The sequence below is a fragment of the Homo sapiens genome, chromosome 11, assembly GCF_000001405.40.
Source record: "Homo sapiens chromosome 11, GRCh38.p14 Primary Assembly".
NCBI lineage: Eukaryota > Metazoa > Chordata > Mammalia > Primates > Hominidae > Homo > Homo sapiens.
Window position 1 is genome coordinate 115,736,961 of NC_000011.10, and position 23,435 is coordinate 115,760,395.

General features: G+C 47.1%; 2 long non-coding RNA genes across 2 annotated transcripts in view, besides 4 other annotated features; one reads left to right on the forward strand and one right to left on the reverse strand.

The window, feature by feature from the left end:
* Positions 1-23,435, forward strand: part of LINC02698 (long intergenic non-protein coding RNA 2698) — a 242,222-nt gene that overhangs the window by 77,608 nt on the left and 141,179 nt on the right. The gene's annotated exons all lie outside the window — the stretch shown is intronic.
* Positions 4,216-4,758: an enhancer, noted in NCBI's record as "H3K4me1 hESC enhancer chr11:115611894-115612436 (GRCh37/hg19 assembly coordinates)". NCBI's record gives its function as "activates a minimal SCP1, AML or CMV promoter by ChIP-STARR-seq in naive H9 embryonic stem cells {active_cell/tissue: H9 hESC(naive)}" and the evidence as "EXISTENCE:reporter gene assay evidence [ECO:0000049][PMID:30033119]".
* Positions 4,759-5,301: an enhancer, noted in NCBI's record as "H3K4me1 hESC enhancer chr11:115612437-115612979 (GRCh37/hg19 assembly coordinates)". NCBI's record gives its function as "activates a minimal SCP1, AML or CMV promoter by ChIP-STARR-seq in naive H9 embryonic stem cells {active_cell/tissue: H9 hESC(naive)}" and the evidence as "EXISTENCE:reporter gene assay evidence [ECO:0000049][PMID:30033119]".
* On the reverse strand, positions 18,371-23,240 carry LINC00900 (long intergenic non-protein coding RNA 900). The gene is made up of 3 exons (NR_034148.1): positions 23,070-23,240; positions 21,181-21,292; positions 18,371-20,332 (listed from the first exon to the last, which is right to left on the reverse strand). It is a non-coding gene; the product is annotated as a long intergenic non-protein coding RNA 900 (long non-coding RNA).
* Positions 19,921-21,120: an enhancer, noted in NCBI's record as "BRD4-independent group 4 enhancer chr11:115627599-115628798 (GRCh37/hg19 assembly coordinates)". NCBI's record gives its function as "activates an origin of replication core promoter dependent on BRD2, P300/CBP, MED14 and CDK7 cofactors, and independent of BRD4, by STARR-seq in HCT116 cells {active_cell/tissue: HCT116}" and the evidence as "EXISTENCE:reporter gene assay evidence [ECO:0000049][PMID:35650434]".
* Positions 22,300-22,834: an enhancer, noted in NCBI's record as "H3K27ac-H3K4me1 hESC enhancer chr11:115629978-115630512 (GRCh37/hg19 assembly coordinates)". NCBI's record gives its function as "activates a minimal SCP1, AML or CMV promoter by ChIP-STARR-seq in naive H9 embryonic stem cells {active_cell/tissue: H9 hESC(naive)}" and the evidence as "EXISTENCE:reporter gene assay evidence [ECO:0000049][PMID:30033119]".

Below are 23,435 nucleotides of genomic sequence, written 5' to 3' on the forward strand. Positions count from 1 at the left end.
GAGACAGGGTTTCTCCATATTGGTCAGGCTGGTATCAAACTCCCAACCTCAGGTGATCTGCCTGCCTTGGCCTCCCAAAGTGCTGGGATTACAGGCGTGAGGCACTGTGGCCGGCCTGCTAATTTTTTTTTTATTTTGTAGACACGGGAGCTTCCTATGTTGCCCAGGCTGGTTTCAAACTCCTGGGCTCAAGCAATCTGCCCCCATCGGCCTCCCAAAGTGCTGGGATTATAGGCTTGAGCCACTGTGCCCAGGCCTGGCCTAAGGTTTTAAGCTAGTGAATGAGAAAGAGAGGATGAGAATTCAGGTTTCCTCGCTCTCTGTCTAATTGCTCATAATTACATTGGAAGGGGATGGGGAAAAGAACAAATTGAAAAAGATGTCAGAGGAAGGGAGTGGAGAGAGTGGATTTTATAGACAGGAGCCCATGTGGAGGAGAGGCAAGAAATTGGGTAAATAAGGGTGTGGGAACCAGGTGGCCAGAGGCCTTGAAGGTTGAGTCGATAAAATTTTTGTGTTTTTCCTGATTGGCAATAAGGGACAGAGGGATAGATAGACACCCATGCTAACTCCCAGGGGCATCTTCTGCTGACATTGTTTGTATAATAAAAACGGTTATTCTGCAAATAGCCCATTTTAAATCAGATGCCCAGACTTTTGGCTTGTTGAATTCACCCAGTATGGTAATCTGGGCCAGAAATTTTGACTTCTTTGCTCTACACTGAAATATAATGTATAAAATCCCAGACCTTGTGGACTCTTCCAGTCAAGCCTCTTGTTTCTTAGTCTGACCAGTGATAAGGACCTTTGCTGCACCGAATTGAATTCCCATTGGCCAGATCTCAGGCCTGCCTTCCCTTTCCCCACATATCTTGAGTAGGACCCCATAGGGCTCCTTAAAGAAGCAGCCTTGTGTGTGGATGCTGGATAGGGACAGAAAGGAAGTGAGAGGGCAAGGAGCCTGCTGGGGAGGCCATGAGGATACACGGCTTGCAGCTGATTCTCTGCTTGCTGCCATTGGTTTGTTGGTATTGCAGAAACATGGCTCCAGCACCAGGGGAGAATGTAAGGGTCAAGAACTGCAAATTGTAAACCACAGTGAAGTGAGATGAATCAATCTGCAGTGACCTAAGAGACAGGAGAAAAGCCTGCTAACAGGAGGCTTAGAAAAGGCTCCTGGATGTGCCTGGCTGCAGGAGACCATGGCCAGCCCAGCTCTGTCCCCTTAGACAACCAGGCTTGGTCAGGTTTGATCACAGGGTTGTCAGGGAGCAGACCAGGCCAACTGGGACCAGATAGTATCTTCCCTGCAGTGCCTTAAGAGGTCAGGGTTGAAGATGGTTCTTTGGAGCAAGCCAGCTTTTCTATTGTGGTCACAGACCCTGGAGAGGAAAGCAACACTTTTGTTTACATGGTTGTCATTCTTTTCTGATTTGTAGTACGTATTTGTTAAAGAAAATATAGAAAACCTACAGGAGAAAGGAGGATATTATCCACAATCATACCACCAAAGGTAATCACTGTTAATATTTTAGGGAATTTCCTTCCAATCTTTTTTTTTCTTTTTTATCTTAAAATAAAATTCAAGTCATATTATATTTGCATTTTTATAGTTTCTTTTTTCATTTAATATTATATGATGAGCCTATTCCTGTCCCTTTCGTATTATTCTACAATATCTTTTTTTAATAGTTTCACAGTATTCAATTTTGTGGATTTATATACATTTAGTTAATCTTTATAACTGGATATTTAGATTTCCTGCAAATTTGCACCATTGTAAACATTACTGCAATGAACATCTTTGTATTACAATAATCTTTGACCACAATTTCTGATTGTTTCCTTAGGAGACACTTTCCTAGAAGTGGAATCACTGTTTCGAAGGCTCTTGTTATATGCTGGTTAATTGTCCCCCTCAACTCCCCCCACCTGAAGTGTCACATCAATTTACAATCTCATTAATCAGTGGCTATGACAGTGCCATCTCACTGCACCTTTGCCAGCACTGTGAATTATTATATTCTTTTAAGTGGAAGGTTGCCTTTTCAGAGTCATGCTCAGCTGACTGATAGCATAAGCTTTGAACATAGCAGCTAATTTCTTTGTGTTTATTAGCAGAGCTTAGCAGATCTACATGTGGGAGTGCTAGAAAACTTGGGGAGGAAAGAAGGCTGTATCTAATCCACAGGCAGCCATGTGTACAGAGAGGGAGAGAGGAGACCTGTGTATGAGGTGGTACTTGATTCATCCTTCTCCAAAACTCAAAGTGTATGAAGCTGCCAGGCAAAACCCCTCCTCCAAAAGCTCTTGCCCAGAAATGCTTCCTGGCTGATCAGGAAATGAGAGAACAAAGCAAGCCTACACAAAGACGGGCTTAGTAGTCTGGAAGGCCAGTGATGTGCAAAGTCCCTGATGCTAAGCAGAAATGAAAACGCTAATGGTGAGACACCCAAAGAAAATGTATTCCATATGCACAGGCCGGCCGGCTGCAAAGGAATACAAATGCAGTTAGGGATTAGCCGGCAGGAGCAAGAGCAGCCCGGATAACTTGGGAATTGCTTTCCAGCTTGCTTAGGCCAGTTGTAGCTAAAGGTACTTGGGGCGCTGAATTTGACCTTTTTTTCTGACTCTGGCATCAGAGAAACTTATCAGTATTGCAGCCCATTTTAAATAATCACAAAGCCCCAATTTATTGGACAAGCCCTGTAGAGTTTTGGGTGCCTACTCTGCACCCAGCACCCATGCTAGTGCTTTTATGCAACATATATACACCCCAGAAAAATTCGGCGAAGTGGTAGTCATTATCCCCATTTCTTAGATGAGAAAATTGATGCACAGTGAGATTAAGTAACTTGCACAATTCATCAAAATGATGGAGACTGGATCTCAAATCAGACCTGTCTGGCCTCACTCTCTGTGTTCTTTCCCCCACCATGCCTTTGTAGGGCCTGATTTTGAGCTGCTGTATTATAAGTGCTCCCCAGCCCTTCTGAGTCTGCCTGCCCTGGCTGATACAAGGCAACAGGCTTCTTATTCTGTCCTTCACATTCTGCTGTGCAAGTGGAGACGTAGCAGAGATAAGAATGAGGCCTCCTTAGGGTGGAAAGTGGCCAACAGGTCTTGACATGTACTTCTTTGTGGCTAGTGAGCCAAGTCCTTGAGGGCAAGACATTCTGAGAGTGCCCTGGTCATGGTCGGGGGAGTGGTGATCTAACCTATGTTTTCCCTGCTATGGAAGCGGCAGGCACAGAATTCCTGGAAGATAGGCCCTCAAAGAAATGGCTCCAGTGTCCATGCAGATGGTTGCAACTTTTTGGTCATCAGACTCTAGGCCATGGCTGGAAGAAATGCTTTTCCTATCTCTGACTTCTCTTGAGACCTCTGTCTTGTCTTGCAAGAGAATTTCATGGGAGAATTTCATGGATGTCAGGAAGTAGAAGGGATGTAGAAGGAAAGAGGAAGTATGACTCCTAAGGAATCTCCAGGACACCTAGGAAATTGGCTAGTGCCCAGACAACCCCTAACTTCCCTTCTCATTAGGGCCTCCTCAAACTGCCCCAAATTTTCCCACTGCAACACACATTGTGCTGACCAAGGAGAATCTTAGTGCTGACTTGCTGTTTTGCTGGAAAAGCACTGGACAGACAAGAATAGGACTTTTTTTTCTATTAAAAAAAAAAAAAGACAAAAACCAAAGCACAAAGCTTTTAAGTTAAGTGCTGGGGATTTGATGGCTCAGAGCAAAATGGGGAATGGCTATTGTCTAACTGAGAAAACCCAGGGTTCTCTAGCCTGGGGTGGGATCAGTCCGTGGGTAGAAGGTGACCCATCCATGGTTTTGCTCAAATCCGGATACAGTCTCTGTACCCAGATTCTGAGGCTCCAGGATGTGGCACACCTAGAGGATACTAATGTTAGTACCATTTACTGAGTCCTGTGTGTGAGCCACAGGTGTTACGTGCTAGGTATGTCATCCTATTTAATTCTCTGGACATTGCCCTGGGGCATCATGCCCATTTTGCAGGAGGGGACATCGATGTTTAGAGAGGTGTGGTATTTGCTCACGATCACATATGTGGTCGGGGCAGAGATGGGATTCAAACCTGGAAACCCACAACCAGAGTCCATGCTCACAACACGATCCTCTATGATTCTGCTTTCCAGGGACCAAGGGTTAATTAAAAAATATTACATATTTTTTCCTTGGTCCTTGAGTATTGCAAATAAATACCCATGATAAGGCCTTTGGGAGAAGTTTCCAAGTCAATTCAATACAATTAAAAAGGATCAATAGGACCCAACCCATCCGTTGGGTTTCTAGTGTGTCCTTGAGTGGGACAGGTAGTCAAAAGCATGGCACTGCTGTGTCTGCTCTCCATCCCTGCCGAAACCACTCTTTGTTCTTGATGAATAAACAGCCTCGAAAGGGGTTACTCCAAATGGGTACGGTGTCCTCCCTCCCTAACCCCATGGCCTAACTGTGAGTATGTTTCAGAGGAAAATCCTTGTTTGGCTGAAGTAGGAGGAATCATAAAAACACAATGGGCTTTAGAAATGTAAATATCTGCACAGTGAGATGGATGAGGATGATGGATAGATGCCAGAGGAAGCCTGAATGTGAGAATCTGGCAGACAGAGATGGATGTGAGGAAACACAGGGAGTGAGAGGAAAGCAAAAGGCAAGAAGCCACATGCATGGGTGGAGATGGCAGCTCAGGAGTGGCCGGAGCCTGTAAAGCCGCAGGGGCTGGGCTCAGCGAACGCAAAGGGAAGGGAGAGGCAAGGCCGACAAGATTCTGTGGCAGGGATAAAGGGAGTGTGGCCCCTTGGGCGAGATGCACCCAACACAGACAGAAGCTTGCGAGCATGCCCAAGGCTTCCCAGAGAGGAGTAGGTGGGACTCATACTAGATATAGAGTGGCAATTCTCACAGTGTAGCTTCTAGACCGGCAGGATCAGCACAACCTGAGAACTCATTAGAAATGCACATTTTCAGGCCCCGCCCCAGATCTGGTGAATCAGAAACTCTGGGGCCCGGTCCGACATTCTGCGTTTTGGCAAGCCCTTCAGTTGACTTTGATGCGTGCTAAAGTTTGAGAGCATCCCGTATGGAGGAATGGGGAGAATGAAGAGGGCGAGATCAAGGAGGTGTAGAAGTCTAGAGTTTAGGGTATGTGTCTGACGGAAAAAAGGCAAAGAGCCATTTCATTCTAGTCAAAAAAGTGGGCAATACATGGGAAATGCGGAGGGCCCCCAGAGGAGGGCTAGATAATGTGAGGAGCTACGCTTGATCATTGCTGAGACAAGATGGGATGTGCAGGAAGAGAGAACAGACTAGCAGAAGGTTCGTGAGCCAACCTGGGGACAACACAGCCTAGTGAAGGGCACGTGATTGTGATGGTGTCGGAGTGCTAACAGGCCTCCCCCAACAGTGCACCTCAGGTTTCCATCGACCTGTAGAAGAGCACTGGTGTGTTCAAGAGACCCTAAAGAGGGGTGCTGCAGAGAATTGAGGTTCCCATGGACTTGGAGGAGTAGCCTCTGCTCCCAATTCCTTGTCGTCCTGGCAGAAATTCAACCAAGGGCTAACATGCCCAGAGAGCCTTTTGTTTGAATGTTGCCTTTTTCCCCTTCCCTCACAGAAGCTCTGAGCTCCCTCCCCTAGGTGACAAGCACTTACAAGGCAGGGTCTGGGTCACCACTGTACAGAGTGTGCAGGCTGTGCCCCATGCACAGGGCGATGTGCCATTAGGCACTGAGTTCAGGGTTCATGTTGTGTTGACAAGAGCGGGAGAAGAAGCCTGCTCAGGGGAGGTGGGTGGGCCACACGACCTCAGCCTTCCAGCTCTCTGTTTCTACAAAACCAGTTGATGAATGTCTCTCCCATCTTCATCAATCTATTTTTCTTATTGTTATTTTCTTTCTTTGTGCGTTCCTCTTATTGGAAAGAAATGGGTGGACTGACAGCTGAAGCCGCTTCTCTCTGAACCTTGACATTTTGGTTGCCTTGCTTAAGGCTGATGCCCAGACAGCCTGCACAGACAGGGCTCCCCAGACATCCCAACCGCCAGTCCTCAGCAGCAGAAGGGCCCAGGCTCCGGGCACCTCACTAGTACTCACTTATTACTACAAAAACCTTGTAATGGCCCAGGGAAACTTTTGCCTGGGTAAATAACCATTACTGACCTTATAATTTTGAAAATGTTCATTTTGGGCCTTTTTAATGTAGGTTCAAATCTGCTCTGGAGATTGCACTTTAAGAAAAGGCACTCTTGTGTAATTTTCCATTTGAATTAGCTGGTAGACCACCTGGAGGCCTCTTAAGAACCACACCTAGAGACCCACTGGGTTAGCAGACAGCCTGGGTGGAGGGCAATGGCCACCGCTCCTGTTAATAGATCAGAAGGAACAGGCTAATGAATTTGAGAGGGATTTGTTTTTTTAAACCCAACACCCAGTTGAAAGCAATATCCATTAGTATAGTGCACTGAACACTGCCGTGAACTCTTATGTTGATTGGAAGAGACAAGTCATAAATTTCTCCTATTAAAGTTCTTGACTCACAATATCAGGTGAGACAAATGACTTAAAAATAATATGTGCAAATGTCATCAGAATACAGATGACCTGGGTTCTGGCCACAGCAGGGGATGCGAGTCTGATGTCCTGGACAAAGCAGAGTCCATTAAATGTTTGGGGTGGGCTACATGGCACCATATGTTCAATAGGAATATTTTCTTTTCAATCAAAGGGAGGTACTCCAGTGACGTCTGTAGGGATTGTATTTCCTCAATAAGGCAGTTTTGAGATGAAGATGAAAGCACTGATTTAGGAAACCCGAGGATACCCTCAGCAGAGAGTTCTGGTTCTCATGTGCTCTGAGTTGGGATCACTTGCAGAAAGGCTTCAGCCGGGCACACCCCAGGAGGAAGGCAGTGAGCGCAGCCTGGACGCCAGATGGGTTCCAGCCTTCCGCATTGCTTTAAGTCCCACCTTCTCCGTCTTTCCGGATCAGCACTTGAGAGGTGTTGCTTCCTTTTACCCCAACCATACCCTGTCCTCACATGAAATCCCAGTGCTCTCTCCTTCCCACTCATTCTCCAGTCAACCTACGATGCACTTACCCCCAGGGTGGGAACCAAATTAACCACAGAAACCTATTATTTGTGTATTTGTATAAATGAATGTTTATTGCAGAATAGCTTCTGCATATTCTTCCTGCCAGCATGGACTTTATTTTCTAATGGAAATTCTTGCATCTGTGTTTCTTGATTTGGTCTGCTCTTGGCTCTATCCCACTCCTGCCCCGGCATCTTAGTCATCCACAGTCTCTAGTGGCTCAGGCAGGGGCATTACCCAATCTGTAATTGAGTGAGGGTACATGAGCATTCTTAGGACTCCCTTTAGAAGAAAGGAATGAGCACAACTTCTAGGGATTTGGGGCCCAGGCTGGAGAAAATCCTATCTTTGATGAGGTTCAAGGTTTTATTTCTAAGCACCACAGCTGCCCAGGAAAGACATCTGGCTCTGGCAACTGACCTCGTAGAGAACTGGGCCTGGCTATCTGCATTTCAAGCTTGATTCCAGAACTCCCCCATCATGCTACCCCATGATACCCTATAGAGTGCAGAGCCAAGTCTGCCTTGGGGGAGACGCATCACAGTTATGCATCAGTACTATTTTATATGAAATCATGCCAGGGTTTACAGTCACCCAAGCTTGCTACAGGTGCCACAGTGCCCGGAGGATTAGGCAAGGGGTCTGCATTAATCCCCAACCAATCTTAGTGGAGACAGAGCCTGACTTGGATCCTGACATGAGAGGACACATCCCTGCCTCCCTTTTGCCCTGACCCGCTGAAGCCTCGTGCAGGAAAATGGAGAATCTAGAAAGCATCTAGTCTTGGGAGGTGCTGTGAGATCATTTCTCTCTCTTTCTTCCCTCTCCAGCCCCTCCCCACTTTTTTATTTTTTATTAACAAGGATGAAAGTAAATGTGAACTCGAAACAATAAGGCATGGAAAATCACAGAAATAACTTAATTAAGTTTTTAAAGATTTCCATGCTTGAATAAATTAGCCTTCCTGCAAATGTCACAACATTCAGAAAAAAAAATTGTAATCAATGGAGCACAATGCTTCCCCGCTCTTTATTTAAACGAAAGCTCCATTGGTGCATTTCCTTTTACCCCTGCTCCTCCCCTGCAGCTGCTGCTCCCTGGCCCCCCTCAGCTTCAGGCAAGGGCACCAGACTCTCACATCAGCATATTCTGCTGCTGTTCTGAAAGGTGGAAGGATTGCAGGTGGGGGCAGGCGATGGGAGGGCCACGCAGGGAGGTTTCTCTTGGCCAGAGTGAGAGTATGCGTGGTCCTGGCGCTCCTTTGAAAGGTAGCAGAATCTGATCTCTCTATGGGGCTTGGGTTCTCTTAGGCCTCAGCCAAAGCTGGGAGTGAGGGAGATCTTTCCTTCAGCACCAGGATGAGAGTTTGATGACGAGTCAGACCCAACTCTGCAGGGCGAGGGATAGGGGCCATTTCCCGCCACCCTCTCCAGTGCCTTTCTCCCTTTTCAGGCATTTCCCCATCACCAGGGCTGGGAAGATTACAGGAAAGCAGGCAGGAGAAAGAGAAAGATGGAGGGGAAAAAGGAGGACCCAGGTTCCCCGGGGCAGCAGTCCTGCCTTCGGCCACATGGACAGATTTTCATCGCCATCGAGACGCAGGGCAGATTGCTCGGCTAATGAGTACATGTCACTGCGCTGCTGCTGCTGCTGACTTGAGTAGTGAGTGATGTCATGCTGGCTGCCCAGCCCTGCTATAATGCAACTGTCAGGGCCCCGTGGGGAAAACTTGGGGAGAAATACGAGAAGTCTAAAAAGCAGCAAAAGGCCCAGTCAAGTGAAGGGAAATGGAATTACAGTCATGCTGAAAGCAGGCACACTGGAGAATTAAAACACTTTGTTTTGGAACCAGAGTGTACTCAACCTGGGTTATTAAATTATTTATTGTTTGCATCACCAGTAATGGGCGAGAGTAATGGGGGGAGCAATCAGCCAGGGCAGAGATGATTTTAATTATCTGGTACATTTGGGGCCGCCCCTGCGTAGAGCCTGGTGCCCCTCGAGCACGGAGCCAAGTGACGTGGAAATGGGATGTTCAGGGCTTAATCAGATTCATCAGATCCATTCACTGAACTAACCCTGAAATGGGCTGTGTGATGATCCTTCAGACTTAACATGGGGAATGTCAGCCTGTTTCCCAAGGACACCCCATGACCCAAAATGGTTCTGCTTTTATGACATTGCATGTTGATGGGTAGCCATCCCACGTGCCCCCAGTGACACACATCCTGCCGGCACCACTGGGTGTGAAGTGAGGATGGCGAAGGGCCTAAGAGGAAGTGAGATGGGGTCTAGGAAATCGAAGCAGCCCCTGGGTAATCCATCCGGGCTCCTATTTCGCTTTTGGCAGTCTGGGAGTTTGGAAAGGCAGGATAGTGATGTCAATGCGGCACTATTTCTTTTTCTTTTTCTTTTTCTTTTTAAATTTTTTTTCTTTTTTTCTTTTTTCTTTTTGAGATGGAATCTCGCTCTGTTGCCGAGGCTGGAGTGCAGTGGCATGATCTTGGCTCACTGCAATCTCCGCCTCCCAGGTTCAAGGGATTCTTCTGCCTTAGCCTCCCAAGTAGCTGGGACTACAGAAGCGCACCACGATGCCCAGCTAATTTTTGTATTTTTAATAGAGACGGGGTTTCGCCATGTTGGCCAAGCTGGTCTTGAACTCCTGACCTCAGGTGATCCACCCGTCTTGGCCTCCCAAAGTGTTGGGTTTACAGGCGTGAGCCACTGCATCCATTCGATGCAGCATGATTTCTATGTGCCATGTACCAGGCACTGTGATAAGCATTTTACATATATTCTTTTATTTGATCTTCATAGGACCCTCCTCAAGAGAGTAACTATGCATCATGGTTTGTTCCTTCTGATTTGTGCCTGTTGCTTCAGAGTAATTATTGAGGGCACCTTCCTCTCACTCTCAGAGTCCCTGTTTAGACCATAAATTGTTATGCCCATTTTGTGGGTGAGAAACTGAGGCTTAGAGATTTGCCTAAGCCCTCTAGCTGTAAGTGACAGGCTTTACACTGGCTCTGTCTGGCTCCAGAGCCTGAATTCTTACATGTTTTACTACTATGGCTGTGCTGCTTTAGAGATGGAGAACAGAGGAGGCAGGGACATGAAATTGCTGTGGTTTTTGTCTTTCCTCTGATAGGCGGCAAAATCTAATCTCTCTTTGAGGACTGTGGGATTCCTAGTTCAAAAGTCAGGGGCAGCCAGTTTGAGGAAGCAGAAGGTGCCTGTTGACTGACAGGTTAACAAGATGGTGTAAGAAGAACAGCTACCCTCCTAAGCCAAACCCCCAGGGTAGGCTTGTTCTCGTTCCAAGGGGCCTGGAGAGCCAAGGCTAGGACTAAAGGCAGCTCTTTCCCACGAGGTGACCTAAATCTTCACCTCCCTCTTCTTCTTCTTTTTTTTTTTTTTTTAATTTCAGTAGGGTTTTGGGAAACAGGTGGTGTTTGGTTACATGGATAAGTTCTTTAGTGGGGATTTCTGTGATGCTTCCATCACCCAGGAAGTGCACACTGTACCCAGTGTGTAGTCTTTTATCCTTCACCTTCCTCGCTCTTTTTTTTTTTTTTTTTTTTTTTTGAGATAGAGTCTCACTCAGTCGCCCAGCCTGGAGTGCAGTGGCGCAATCTTGGCTCACTGCAAGCTCCACCTCCCGGGTTCACGCCATTCTCCTGCCTCAGCCTCCCGAGTAGCTGGGACTACAGGCGCCTGCCACCATGCCCGGCTAATTTTTTGTATTTTTAGTAGAGATGGGGTTTCACTGTGTTAGCCAGGATGGTCTTGATCTCCTGACCTCGTGATCCGCCTGCCTCGGCCCCCCAAGTGCTGGGATTACAGGTGTGAGCCATCATGCCCGGCCCTTCCTTGCTCTTCTTAAGGTCCAGTTATCTGGGCAAAGGGCCAGGAATCTGAGCCTCTGCTCCAGTCCTTCGCCTCTGGCCTGAAGCCATGAGAAATGACAATAAGAAAACCACCCTCAAGTTGGCTTGATTCCCTGCCCATGACATACAAAGGCGCATCCAGTTTGCAGAGAAAAGGCTGGGTTAACCAGGCTGCTGTTGGTCAAGTGGCTGTAAGTGGTGCCTGAGGAATCCATATTGCTGTTATTAACTTGCAAACTGTTGATGTAAAGGGTTGGGGTGGAATACTTTGCTTCTGTAATTAGAACTGGTTTCCTTTTCCTGCAAATTTGGGGACTCTCCTGTTATTAATGACCTTTTTGGATCCATGCCCAGGATTTAGAGATATTGTCTTTGGATCTAGGTAATGAGGTCGCTACTGATCCTGAACAAATGGGAGAAGTTATTTAATAATTACTCTGCACTGTCTGTCGGTGACCTTTCATTTGTCGAGATGAGAGGCATCTGTTTATCATCACCCCTATGTGGAAGATTTTGATTTTCCGGGATTAGTTCTCCTGGATTGAATCCATTTTGCTTTCTGCCTTTTTAGAAAAGTTTGCCATTTAAAGGTACCACATGCTGTAGCATATGAGGGAGCTGCACCTGAAGTGATATGAGTGGAAACCATCTTAGACAGGCTGGAAACACAAGTTCTTCTTAATCTGGGGTGCACAATCAACTTCTAGAGCTGACAGACTTGTATGCTGCTGAGGCAAGTCAGTGGCTTCTCAGTGGTTTCTGGCGGCAAGACTCAAGATTTGAAGTTTGAGAGGAAATAAGCCTCAAACTTTGAGAGGAGGTAGGAAGAGATTAGGCTTTTTCTCTTTTCTGCACTTAACAGTGAGATGGATAGATGGCCCAGTGTGCTCAGTGGCTCTCAGCTGGGGAGAACACGGATGCCATAATTGGGCAGACACTGTGGTGGACAAAACAGAGCCAAAGCTCAGAGAGGCTCTCTGAGCGCCCCCAAAGAGACGTTCCTCCCATACCAGGTCTTGAAGGGCTTCTGGAGGGCTTGGTAGAGACAACCTGGGAAAGACGATGACAGCGACTGAAGGCTTAGGATGAAAACCAGATTAATTTGACTTGCACAGAGAATCATGTGCTGCCAAGTGTGAGTGGTGTCTTACAGAGCCTGAGCCTATTACTTTACCTAACTTTGTCTTCCTTTTAAAAATATCCCTGCTAAATGGCCGTTGAGCCACTGCTTGCATTTCTCCTATGGAGAACTCACCACTTCTCAATTCCCTCTGGTCTCCACTCCATTTCCAGCAATTCTCATAAAATTCCTTTTTCTAAAATATTGAGATTTTAAAAATCTGTTATTTTGACTTTAGCCCATTGACCTTTGCTCTTATGTTGGGGCATTAATTGGCATTTGTCTTCTTCCTTAGGACAGTCCTTCAGGCTTTGGAGCAGGGTTGTCATGCCACCCTATGTCTTCTGGTGAAACATTCCAGTTCTCTATGTTTTCCATGAGCCATGCTTCCAAGTTCTTTCACCCCCCTGGCCACACTCCTTAAAATCAGTCGTGTTTTGTGGTTCTCTGAATATGAGAATTGCAAACAATACTCAAGTCTGGTTTGTCCCTCACATACTAGAACAGGTTTATCTTCTCCTTTCATCCAGACAATACGGTTTTATTAATGCAATCTAAGTAAGGGAATTTTTTGAAAAGGGAAGGGGGGAAGCACGGTTGGTAGAAGACCTTCAAATCTCTTCTGAAGAATTAGGTGGAAGAAGCCCTACGGAAAGACAACATTCCACAAGGCTGGCGAGACTTTCACAGGGAGGGAGCGGGCTGCAGGTAGTCCTGCCCTCTCCCCATTCCCACAGCCCTTTGGAGCCCTTTCTTCTTCTTGGATAAACAGGGAAACCAGAGCTGGGATTGGGCAGGAGGAGAAAAGCAGAGAGCAGCTTGGAGTTAGAAGACACAGGGCAACAATGATTTGAGAGTCCCTGCATTTCTCACACTGACCCCAGAACCAGGCAATTTCTCAGGGGAGAAGGCCCTGTGCTCCTAGAATGAGTGAGTGCCCTGTGTTACACCCCCTGAATGGTCTGCACCTCCACTTTGATAACATGCATCACATGTGTAACAAATGTTCAGCTTTGAACTTCCTCACTAGGTTGTGAGGGCACAGTCCCTACTTATCTGTTTAATGATCCTTAATCCACAGTGTCAAATACAATGTAGGCACTCAACAAAAATGTGCTGGATAAATGAACAAAGAACAAATCAACGAATCTCCAGGAGTGCTTGCTCCAAGGTTTCTGTTGATGGGTTCTATCCATCAGTCCATTTGGCAGCTCCTGTTAACTTGCCTAGTTCCAATTGGCTCTCTCCTCCTGCAGCGAATTCTCCACTGTCCAGCCATGTTAAGAGATAGAATAGAATCATGAAAACATAAAGGGGTTAGGGCTAAAGAGAACTTTAGAAGTTATGCACAGTTTATTGATAAAAAGACTTTTTTCCCTCATCCACACTCCACTAAATTCTCTCACTTTCTTTCTTTCTTTTCACATCCCAGCTCTACAAAGCAATTCCCTTGCAGATACCCTCAACTCCTTTTTTCCTTATTCTCTCCACTGAACTTACCTGGGAAAAAGCCCCGACTATCTGCTTACTTTGTTCCTGACCTGAAGCAGCTTAGCATTACTGGAGAAAATCATCTTCTTGAAATTGATAAACTGGGCTCCAAGGAGACACTCTCGACCCCTCCACCGCATTGGTCTCCAGCAATGCAACCTTTACAACCTGTCAGGTGCTACTCTTATTTCTGTTGCCCATTTTGGAGGACTGTTTCCTTGAGGAGGCCCATTTAGGTGTCTTTTCTACCTATCTACCCTTCTAGACTTGATCTGGAAAGGATCTTAGGGATCAGCTGATCTCCTACCTTTCAGTGTTTGTATCTTTAACTGGGAAACTTCCCTGTATAAAAAATCTTATGTGGAACTCTTCATTATAAAACAGTGGAGTTGCTCTTGTTGAAAAATGCTGAGGGCCAAGGGCCAGGGTCTCTCCATGTGAGTCCCCTACTGTATCTGCCAGAGCACCTGAGGGTGTGTTTGTGCCTTAGGGTCTCAGCAGAGCCCATTGGAAATCACTGATTTAGCCTGCAAACCTTATTATCTGGATGAGGGAACTGCTGTCCTGAGAGGTGACATCACATGATAGATCCTGGACCCAGCATGTTTAATCTGGGGGCTCCTCCCAGCAGAGCATGGCACCCCTTGCTCTGACCATCATGCTTTTTGGCTTCCCTCACCTGACTCTGATTCCCACTGAGCTGTGTGGTGGCCACCACTGCCTCCTATTTGGATGCAGAAGGTCAGTTTCTCTGCAGACAGACCAGCCCTTTCAGGGCCACTCTCCCGTGCACTCGGGCCCTGTAGCACCTCCCACCTCATCCTTCCTAGGGACTGAAGCCCAAAGCCTCTTACAAAACTGTCTTCTGAGGGCCCCTTGGCTGTCCTGTTTGTAAAACCATTCACAGTCAGCCATGCCTTTCATTTCCTTAATCTTAAATTGCATCAAAAAGGGAGAGATTAGAGGTAAAACCTCAATAAAGGACTGAACAAAAGCCTGCCCCCACTTCGGATTCTCACACCTAGCTTTGCCTTTTTCCCCTCCCTCTTCTCTGACAGACTGAGTGTATGAACCTTTTTTTTTTTTTTTAACTTAGATTAAAACGCTATTTAGAAAAGGCCCGCAAGTTTGAAGTCACCTCTGGTTCATACATTAAACATCAAATGTACATTAACTGTGAATTATGGTCATGAAAAGTAAATCCTTTAATGCCGTTTTCTGTGTTCCACTGCTGAAGCTTAGCATTAATGGCCTCTTTGCAACTCTGTGAATAGATGGACTTCTTATTTTCTAGCTTTCACCACCACACAGGCTTCTCTCTGTGCACCTGTAAACACACAGCCATGGGAAAAAGATTGAAGGGAAGTTTAAGCTCAGAAGCAGATCCACCTGGGTGGCAGGGGCCATTTATCCCCAATGGGCAGGTGGCCACACCTAGTGTAGGACCACACTATTTGTTCTTTCATAGACCCGGCTAGGATCAGCTTAATCGTTTGCTACATTAAGTTCTGAGGAATTGCAGTTATATAGGTGTCTAACTGGTAACTAGATCAAGCTATTGATCAGCAACCCTGACAATGGAGAAACAGGTTTTCACATGAAGAGTTTCTCTAAAAGGCAGGTTCGGAAGCCAGCTCCTGGGAAATGGTAAAGAATGACCACCACTGGGTTGTGGCATGGAAGCCATGCTCTTGTGTTACTGAATGATCTGACTTCTTTCTGCTGTACCAGGATAAGAAGCAAAGAGAAAGAGTGATAGATATCCAAAATGTTTACTCTCATGAGAAGGACCTTTCTCCATTAAAACTGTGGGAGCTCTCCCACAGTGGAGTAAGATGCAAACTACCTGCAGAGGCTTTTGCTACAATCTGATCTAAAGCCCGGGAGGCCAGAAACATGCCGCAGTTGTGGACAAGCCTTAGCAGGTTTTGAGACAAAATGAGGAGAGTCAGAATGAATTACTTCTCCTCCAAACTGGGTTAAGAGACAAGATTAGATAAAGTAGAGATAATGATAGAAAACGATTTAAAAAGGCATTGAATTGCCTTTCAGTGTTTATGAACCTTTAAAGCTTGCACTAAATTACACAAGTTATTTAAATACATTCTTTAATATTTATGCTTTGTTGTTTTAATAAAGACTTCTATTTTTAAATAAAAATGCATAATTAAGTGGAACAGAATATTTTCCTCTTTGACGTGCTTAATCATGCCTCTGGGAAGCTTAAGTTGTTCTGATTATAAAGTCCAGACACTACCATCTACTAAAGAGCAGCCTGCACTCAGTAGGTGCTTAATGAATATTTAATGATCAACTATTATGTGCCTGACCCTGTGTTAAGTTCTGGGACTACAATGGAGAGAGATGAAAAGGACATGGTCTCTGCACTAATGGAGCTTGTAATACAATGAGGGTGTCAGACATTCGTTCTACAAATGAGTGTAAGCTTCCAAAATGGATCAGTATTAGGAGAAATGGAAGCCCTGTCTGATGAGAGGGTATTACAAAGGAACTTAAACTGGTTGGAAAGAAGGAGAGATCGGGAAGGCTTTCCTGAGGATGTAAGGGTTGGGTGGGATCTGAGGGTTAAGTAGGGGATTGCTGGATAGAAAGAGAGAGGAAGAGTATCCCAGGTTGAGCAAATAGTAAGAGCAAAAGCCAGTGGGAGGAGGGAACATGGTGTATTTGGGGGTACCCAAAAGAAGGCAGGCAACTGGTTTGGCCAGCACAGGCTGTGCTGTGGACCAGGGGGGCACAGCTGGGCTGAGGAAGCAGAGTAGGAGCTGAAATCCAGCCCTGCTTTTCTTGCCAAGTGAGATCGCCCATGAGACACTGCATCAGCTTAGAGGAAAGGGCATCATTTTTCCAACTGGGCTGTCCAGAAGGGGCACCTTTATCTAATTCTCTGCAGAGTGACCCACGTGCTAACATGACCCTGGTGGCTGCAGTATATCAGGGGAGAGGGAGAGTGAGGCCAGGGAAGGCTGGAAAGGCATCCAGGGCCAAACACGCAGGACGGGGAGCCTGTGTTAAGGATATGAGCCTTTCTCCTGAGGACGAAGAGGAGCCAATGAAGGGTTTTAAGTGTGTATGTGTGTGATGAACAGATTTGCATTTTGAAAAGATCACTTGGGTTGCAGTGTGGAAAACTGATTAGAGGAGTATCAGAATGGAAGCGGGGTATGGTTTTGGGCAAAAGATCATGAGTATGATCTTGGACTACGGAGTTTGATGCATCTTGCAAGCATCCTAGTAGAAACGTCAAGTGGGCAGTGAACACAGACAAATTGGATGTATAGTACTTAGTTTCTTAGTTTTCAGTTGTCATACCCCCAGGTGTTGCCCCAGGGCATGCAGCAACTTAATCTGTGGGTCAATAGGGAAAGAGGAGGAAGCTAACTACAGGCAGGTCGGGTACTGGTGGTGTTCACCCTGGTGCTAACGCTGTTTCTCAAGTGATGGTGTCCGGTCCAAATCAGTGTCCCAGTGAACTCAGGAAAGCTGATAGATTCAGTTCGGTGAATGGATAACTCCAGCAAAGCTGATGGTTGCTATTAGGTTGGTGGTGACACATTGCTTCTCCTGGTGCAGGTAGTGGCAGAGCTTTAGACATTTCAGAGATGATTCTAGCCAGGGACCAGGGGTGGGTTGAACATTAAATATTCATCAAGATAAAGTTCTATTTATTTGGAAGAAAGACTGACATTGGACACATAAGCTGGAAAGTTCTAAAAGAGATAGATATGTAGATCAGGGCAACAGCGCTGGAAGAGAATTAGAGTGCAACTCTAGAACTAGACAGAAGGCAGCCATGGTCACTAGGAAGACAAGGTGAGCACTGGTGAGAAAGGTTAATCTCAGTGGGCCTCTAAAAGCTTCATGAGGCTTAGTCCTGGGCCCACTGTGTACCCAGCTTAAGGAAGCAAGGCCAATTTTAGACCTTCCACTGAAGATGGGGCTGGGCCCCAAATAAGTTACTAGGATTGGTCAAGACAGGAACAGGAACTGGGCAAATCTGAATCTGTAATTTGGTCTGCAGTACCTATAGGTGGGCAGGACTAGAGATGGCAGGGGTTCACAGCAATAAGATTAGCAACTTTTTGAACATAAACCTATAAATTGTAATAAGCAGTGTTTCGGCCGGGCGTGGTGACTCATGCCTGTAATCCCAGCTCTTTGAGAGGCTGAGGCAGGCAGATCACGAGGTCAAGAGATCAAGACCATCCTAGCCAACATGGTGAAACCCCATCTCTACTAAAAATACAAAAATTAGCTGGGTGTGGTGATGCACGCCTGTAGTCCCAGCTACTCGGGAGGCTGAGGCAGGAGAATCATTTGAACTAGGGAAGTGGAGTTTGCAGTGAGCCACAATTGCGCCACTGCACTCCAGCCTGGTGACAGAGTGAGACTCCATCTCAAAAAACAAACAAAAAAAAAGCAGTGTTTCCTTTCTCTTTCAGATTGGTTCCTAGACACTCTAGTAGCTCTATTAACTCTGTATAGAAGAGCAAAACTGTATGTAAATGTTTGTGTAGGTGCATGTGTGTATGTGCACACATGGGCTTTCTCTTCCTTAGCAGACTGGGATAAATTTTTCAGGAGTAAGGAGAAAGTTGGGGTCACCTAGTCCAGAGAAGAGAAGGCCAAGAAATAGAATCAAAGTAGTCATTCAATCCAGCTCCTTATTGGCAGGCAAGACTTATGCTAAACTTATTACTATTAATAATAATGCCAGGCACTCTTTTAAACATTTTATATGAATCAACTAATTTAATCATCACAGTAACCTCACAATACCTCTGAGAGGTCAGTTATTATTAACCACACTTTTTAGATAAGGAAACTGACACACAGCTGAGAGGTTAAGTAACTTGCCCAAGGAACCAAGAGTCAAATCCAAACAGTCTACTCCAGACTCTCATGCTGCAAATGATGAGAAAATCTACAAGTTCTCAAGGGCTGACTTACAGAAATGGTTTAGAAATCCTCCAAATTCTAGATTCTAGAATTGTGTGGGTTCAACCCTGTCTTCCCTTCCTCCTAGGAAAACTTGCAGGCCTTGTGAGGAGTAACTCAAGATGGAGGATGTGGATTACTCCGATGTCTGAGAATTGAGCCTTGGAGGGGCTGAGGGACTCGCCATGCAGGAAGAGGGTGTCTGGGTAGTGAGTGAGCCTGGCCAGGCAATCTCAGGGCTCCCCAGGCCACATCTCACAATAGGTATTGGGTACACACTACTTCCACCCTGAATCCTCACTGGCAGCCTCCCTGGTCCCCAACAAACAGATGTAGTCATGGCATCTGCATTCATTGTTCAAGAGGTAAAAGATAGTTTGTGTTGCATTATCATTATTATTAATATTATTATTATTGAGTCAGGTCTCGCTCTGTCACCCACGGAGGAGTGCAGTGGCATGATCATGGCTCACTGCAACCTCGAACTTCTGGGCTCAAGCAATCCTTCCGCCTCAACTCCTGAGTAGCTGGGACTGCAGGAGCTGTAGTCCCATGGTGGCAGGGACTATAGCACCTGCCACCATGCCTGGCTAAGTTTTTCTATCTTTTGTAGAGATGGGGGGGGGATCTCACTATATTGGCCAGTTTGGTCTTGAACTCTGGCCTTAAGCAATCCTCCTGCCTCTGCCTCCCAAAATGCTGGGATTACAGGTGTGAGCCACGGCACCTGACCCACATTCATCTCCTTAAATAACAACCTTGGACCCTCTACCACTGCCTCTATTCTTTCCAGAAATCTCTCTCCATAGTGGATCACAGACTAACACTTATTATGACCTGTTTAGAGAGAATGAAAAAACTACCAGGCAAGTTACAGGTACATAGCTTAGTTATAACATATGACTTCATCTGGCTTATCACCCATGTCTGCCTTCTCAGTTTCAACCTGGTTCACTCCAGGCGAATAAGGTGATCATTTTGCCCACTTTGATTCTAGAGAGAAACAAAATTCCTTCCGGGGAGGTTTACTCCCTGAGCCAGCCCACTGGCAGAAGGGATCCTGCCATTGTTCAGCTGATACCCCATCCTGGCACTTCCCGAATGCTTATCCTTTCTCTGGCAAGTTAACTCTAGGCAGCAGCATCTCCAAGTCCCACCTTCATCTGAAGAGATCAGATCACTTTTCTTCGATTGAAATAGGCATGCAATTCTGACAAACATAAGACTTGGGAGAGGGGTCAGTTTCTACAAAGCCATGTTGAGTGTCTGTATTAGTTGTATTGGGAGAGCTTTTGCCCATGAGGTATTTCTTTTTGTTTTGAGTTTTCATCCTGTTTATTTTAGGAAAATAAAGATTGACTAGCCAGGTGCACCTCTCATCCTAAAGAAACACATTTGTCCATTATGTTTCAAAAGAGAGGTGAAATCTTCCTAGTTACTTGGAAGTCCTCTATTGGAGCCAAGGGCAGCAGGTCCAAAGTGGGAAACTAGACCTAGGGCCATCTACTGAAAATCTCAATCAGGTAGGAAATCTCAGGCTGTGATGGGAATGTGGATGGTCATTCTTCCAAAGTCCCATTTCCATTTTTCCCCTGTGTCTCTCTTTTAGATGAACAGACTTAATCAAAGATTGAGAGAGATGTGCTGGGATTAGATGCAGTTCGAGATGCAGCTGAAGAGTCTCATGCTTCATCTTTTCACTCCCAATATAAAAATCAAGGGAAATCCCATGGCGTGGGAAGAGATTCATTTGTCCCTTAAATAAACAAAACACAAAGCACTCAGGAATGTGAAGAAAAGAGCTCTGAGGAGATACAGTCATGAGGGGCTGCACGTGTAGCACCCAAAACATTCCTCTGGCTGGGTGCGGTGGCTCATGCCTGTAATCCCAGCACTTTGAGAGGCCAAGGTGGGTGGATCACAAGGTCAGGAGTTCAAGACCGGACTGACCAATATGGTGAAACCCCATCTCTACTAAAAATACAAAATTAGCCGGGCGTGATGGCGCTTGCCTGTAAGCCCATCTACTTGGGAGGCTGAGGAGGAGAATCGCTTGAACCCAGGAGGTGGAGTTTGCAGTGAGCCAAGATCATGCCATTGCACTCCAGCCTGGGCGACAAGAGCGAGACTCCATCTCAAAACAAAACAAAACAAAACAAAAGCATTATTTCTGAGTTTCTCCCTTTATCCCTGTCATACCTGACACTCAATTGTCCCTTTGGGCTCAAGACAGAAACAAAGGAAATTCCGTCTCCCACTTCCTCGAGTTATCTAGAGAAAGGCTATTCTAAAATTGAAAAAAAGCTAAATGGAAATGAAGAAAATACAAAAATTCACAATAATCTGCAGCTTAAAATACAGGTATTTGTGCAATAAATGATCCTAGTGATTGGGCAGGGAAGCCCAGCTTCACTCCACATGCTGTCTTTTGGGGTCTGCCAGAGGCTCTCTCTTTTAGTTCTGGAGCTGTTCCCCTTCTGAGCTCTGAGGTGAAGGTCTAGTCAGGTAAATGTCTGACAGTCCCTTATAGCTATTAGTAAAAAGGCGAGCTGCTGTCCCATCCCCAGGGAACGGAGCACCCCTTAACTTCCTCCAGGATCCCACCTATGAGGAGCGAATGCGAACAGTCCAAACACGCCATCTGTTCATTGAGGGGAGGGGTGAAAGAGCCTTTTCTTCCTAGGACCTTTGACAAATTCTGGCAGTGTCCACGGCACTGTAAAACAAAACAAGAGAAAATTCAAGCTCATGCTGCCAGTTCAGTTTATTTCGGTTTCTCCTTTTCTGCAGGCATCAGGTACATTATAGACAGGAAAATTGCATTTCAGAAACAGCACCTGTCAGAGCTAGGCAGGCAACACCCCCAGCCCCCGTCAGCACCAAATGCTTTTAATTAACTTTGGACACTTCCGTGCCTCGCACTTTATTTCTGAATGTTATTGAAAGTTGTCAGAACTTGTCTCACTTTTTTTCTTTTATTATTAATGTGTAAATACAATGCCTCAGGAGTGTTACTAAAACACAGAATCTAATCCCAGGAGATTAATTTATGAACGCAGCATAGGGTGAAGTTGCATCCTGGAGACTGCAAATTGATGTTGGTAAGAGCCACAAGCATCGGCCTCTCCAAACCCACGGGGATCCAGAAGGCCGAGGGGAGTGGAGGCAAGGAGGGATGGTGGGGGGAGAACGACTCTGCCGATTTTTGAGACACCCCCAGGAAATAGGACCTTAGGTTCCTCTTGGTGGGGCAGATGAGAGTAAGGCTACCTTTCTCTCCTGATGGGGCAGTGTCCCCTGCAAGTCCATCCATTAGCCAAGTCCATGGGCATTTATTGAGCACTTATGCCACATCAATCTATGCTCGGCTCTGTGGGAATCAAAACAAGCAAAGCAGTAGTTACTGCTTGTGATGACCTTATCTCTGTGGGGGTGGCGGGGGGAGTCAAACAGGCATTTGAAACTATTGGAGAACAAAGCCAGACTCAAGCAAGTATGGGATTGTGTGCAGCAGATTTTAAGTGCACAGTTCTGGTGGATAGGAGAGTCGGTGTGGACTGCAGTGGTCAAGTTAAGTCTGGAGCAGAGGAGTTGCTGGGTGGATATGCTAATCTCAAGCATAAGGCAGGGGAGTTAAGGATGGGGCGCCCAGGGTCCTTTGTGCGGAGCAGGGCAGCTTGGCTACGGTCATCTTTATTTCCTCGAAGGCCAGACAATCTGCGGGGAACGTGGGGAGGGCTCATCTGTTTAGAAGCTGTGCTTTAGGCAAGCTTGAGAAAACATCTGTCCATCCTTGTCCAAAGTGGGTAGCTAAGGACCCCTGGCAGAGAATCACCCATCTTGGGAGCTCTGAGCACCAAGGAGGAAAGCCCTCCGAATTTGAGCGGTGGTTCTCAATGGGAAAGAGAAAAGGAGTTTGCCCATAGCCAAGGGGAGAAGCTGGAGCAGGGTTAACCTGCGGCTTGGGGTTCAGTTGAGCAGGCTGGGCGCCCGGCATGGGAGGTAGAGGTAGGGAAGCTGGGCCTTCCCTTCGTCTTTTCTGCGACCAGGGACGGGTGGCACCTCGTGGTCCGCAGGAATACCTGTGTGGAGGGCTGGGGTTTGGCTCCTGCCGGCTCCTGGAGTATGCTGGGGGTCCACCCCCCGCCTCCCTGCGTCCCCTTCTCCAGCCTCGCCTCCCCAATGCGCTTCCCGCCTCTGCATCGCCGCCGGCCCCTTCACGCCTCTACCTTGGGCGGGTTTGGGGTAAGGGCCGCGCAGACCCTAAGGGAAGGCCCGAGGTCGCCGGAGCTCCTCCTCTCGCGGCTGAGTGAGGGTCTGGGAGGCCAGATGAAGGGAGCTGCTCGGCTGAGCTGCGGACCAGCGCGAGAGCAGCGGGCAGTGGCGGACCAGCGCCAGGGCAGGGCAGGGGTGGACAGAGGGCTCTCCCCACCCTTCCCTCCTCCAGTGAAAGTACCAGAAGAGATGGCGGCCGCTCCGCCGAGTGTCATTACCGCGGAAGCAGCAGAAGCCGGCGGCAGGAGCGGGCCCGAGAGCCCGCGGCCAGTGGCCTGCGCACCCCGCGCCCAGCGCCCCCGCCGCGGGTCATCAGTGTCAGCGTTGAGGGGTCCCGGGGAGCGGTTGCAGGGCGGCGGCGGCGGCCGGGTCATCAGAAGCACAGTGGAGCCGCCCCCTGCTTTGGGAGGAGCAAAAGAGCCTCTCGCTTGCCTCCCGCTCGAGCTCCTTCTCCTCTTCCTTTTCCTAGCGCTTCTCTCCCTCCCTCGGCGGGGTCCGCAGAGACAGCTGGGCAGGCGGAGGCTGCGCGCCTCTCGCACCTCCACGCCCACCCTCCCGCCGCCCCCCCCTCGGCCTGAAAGATC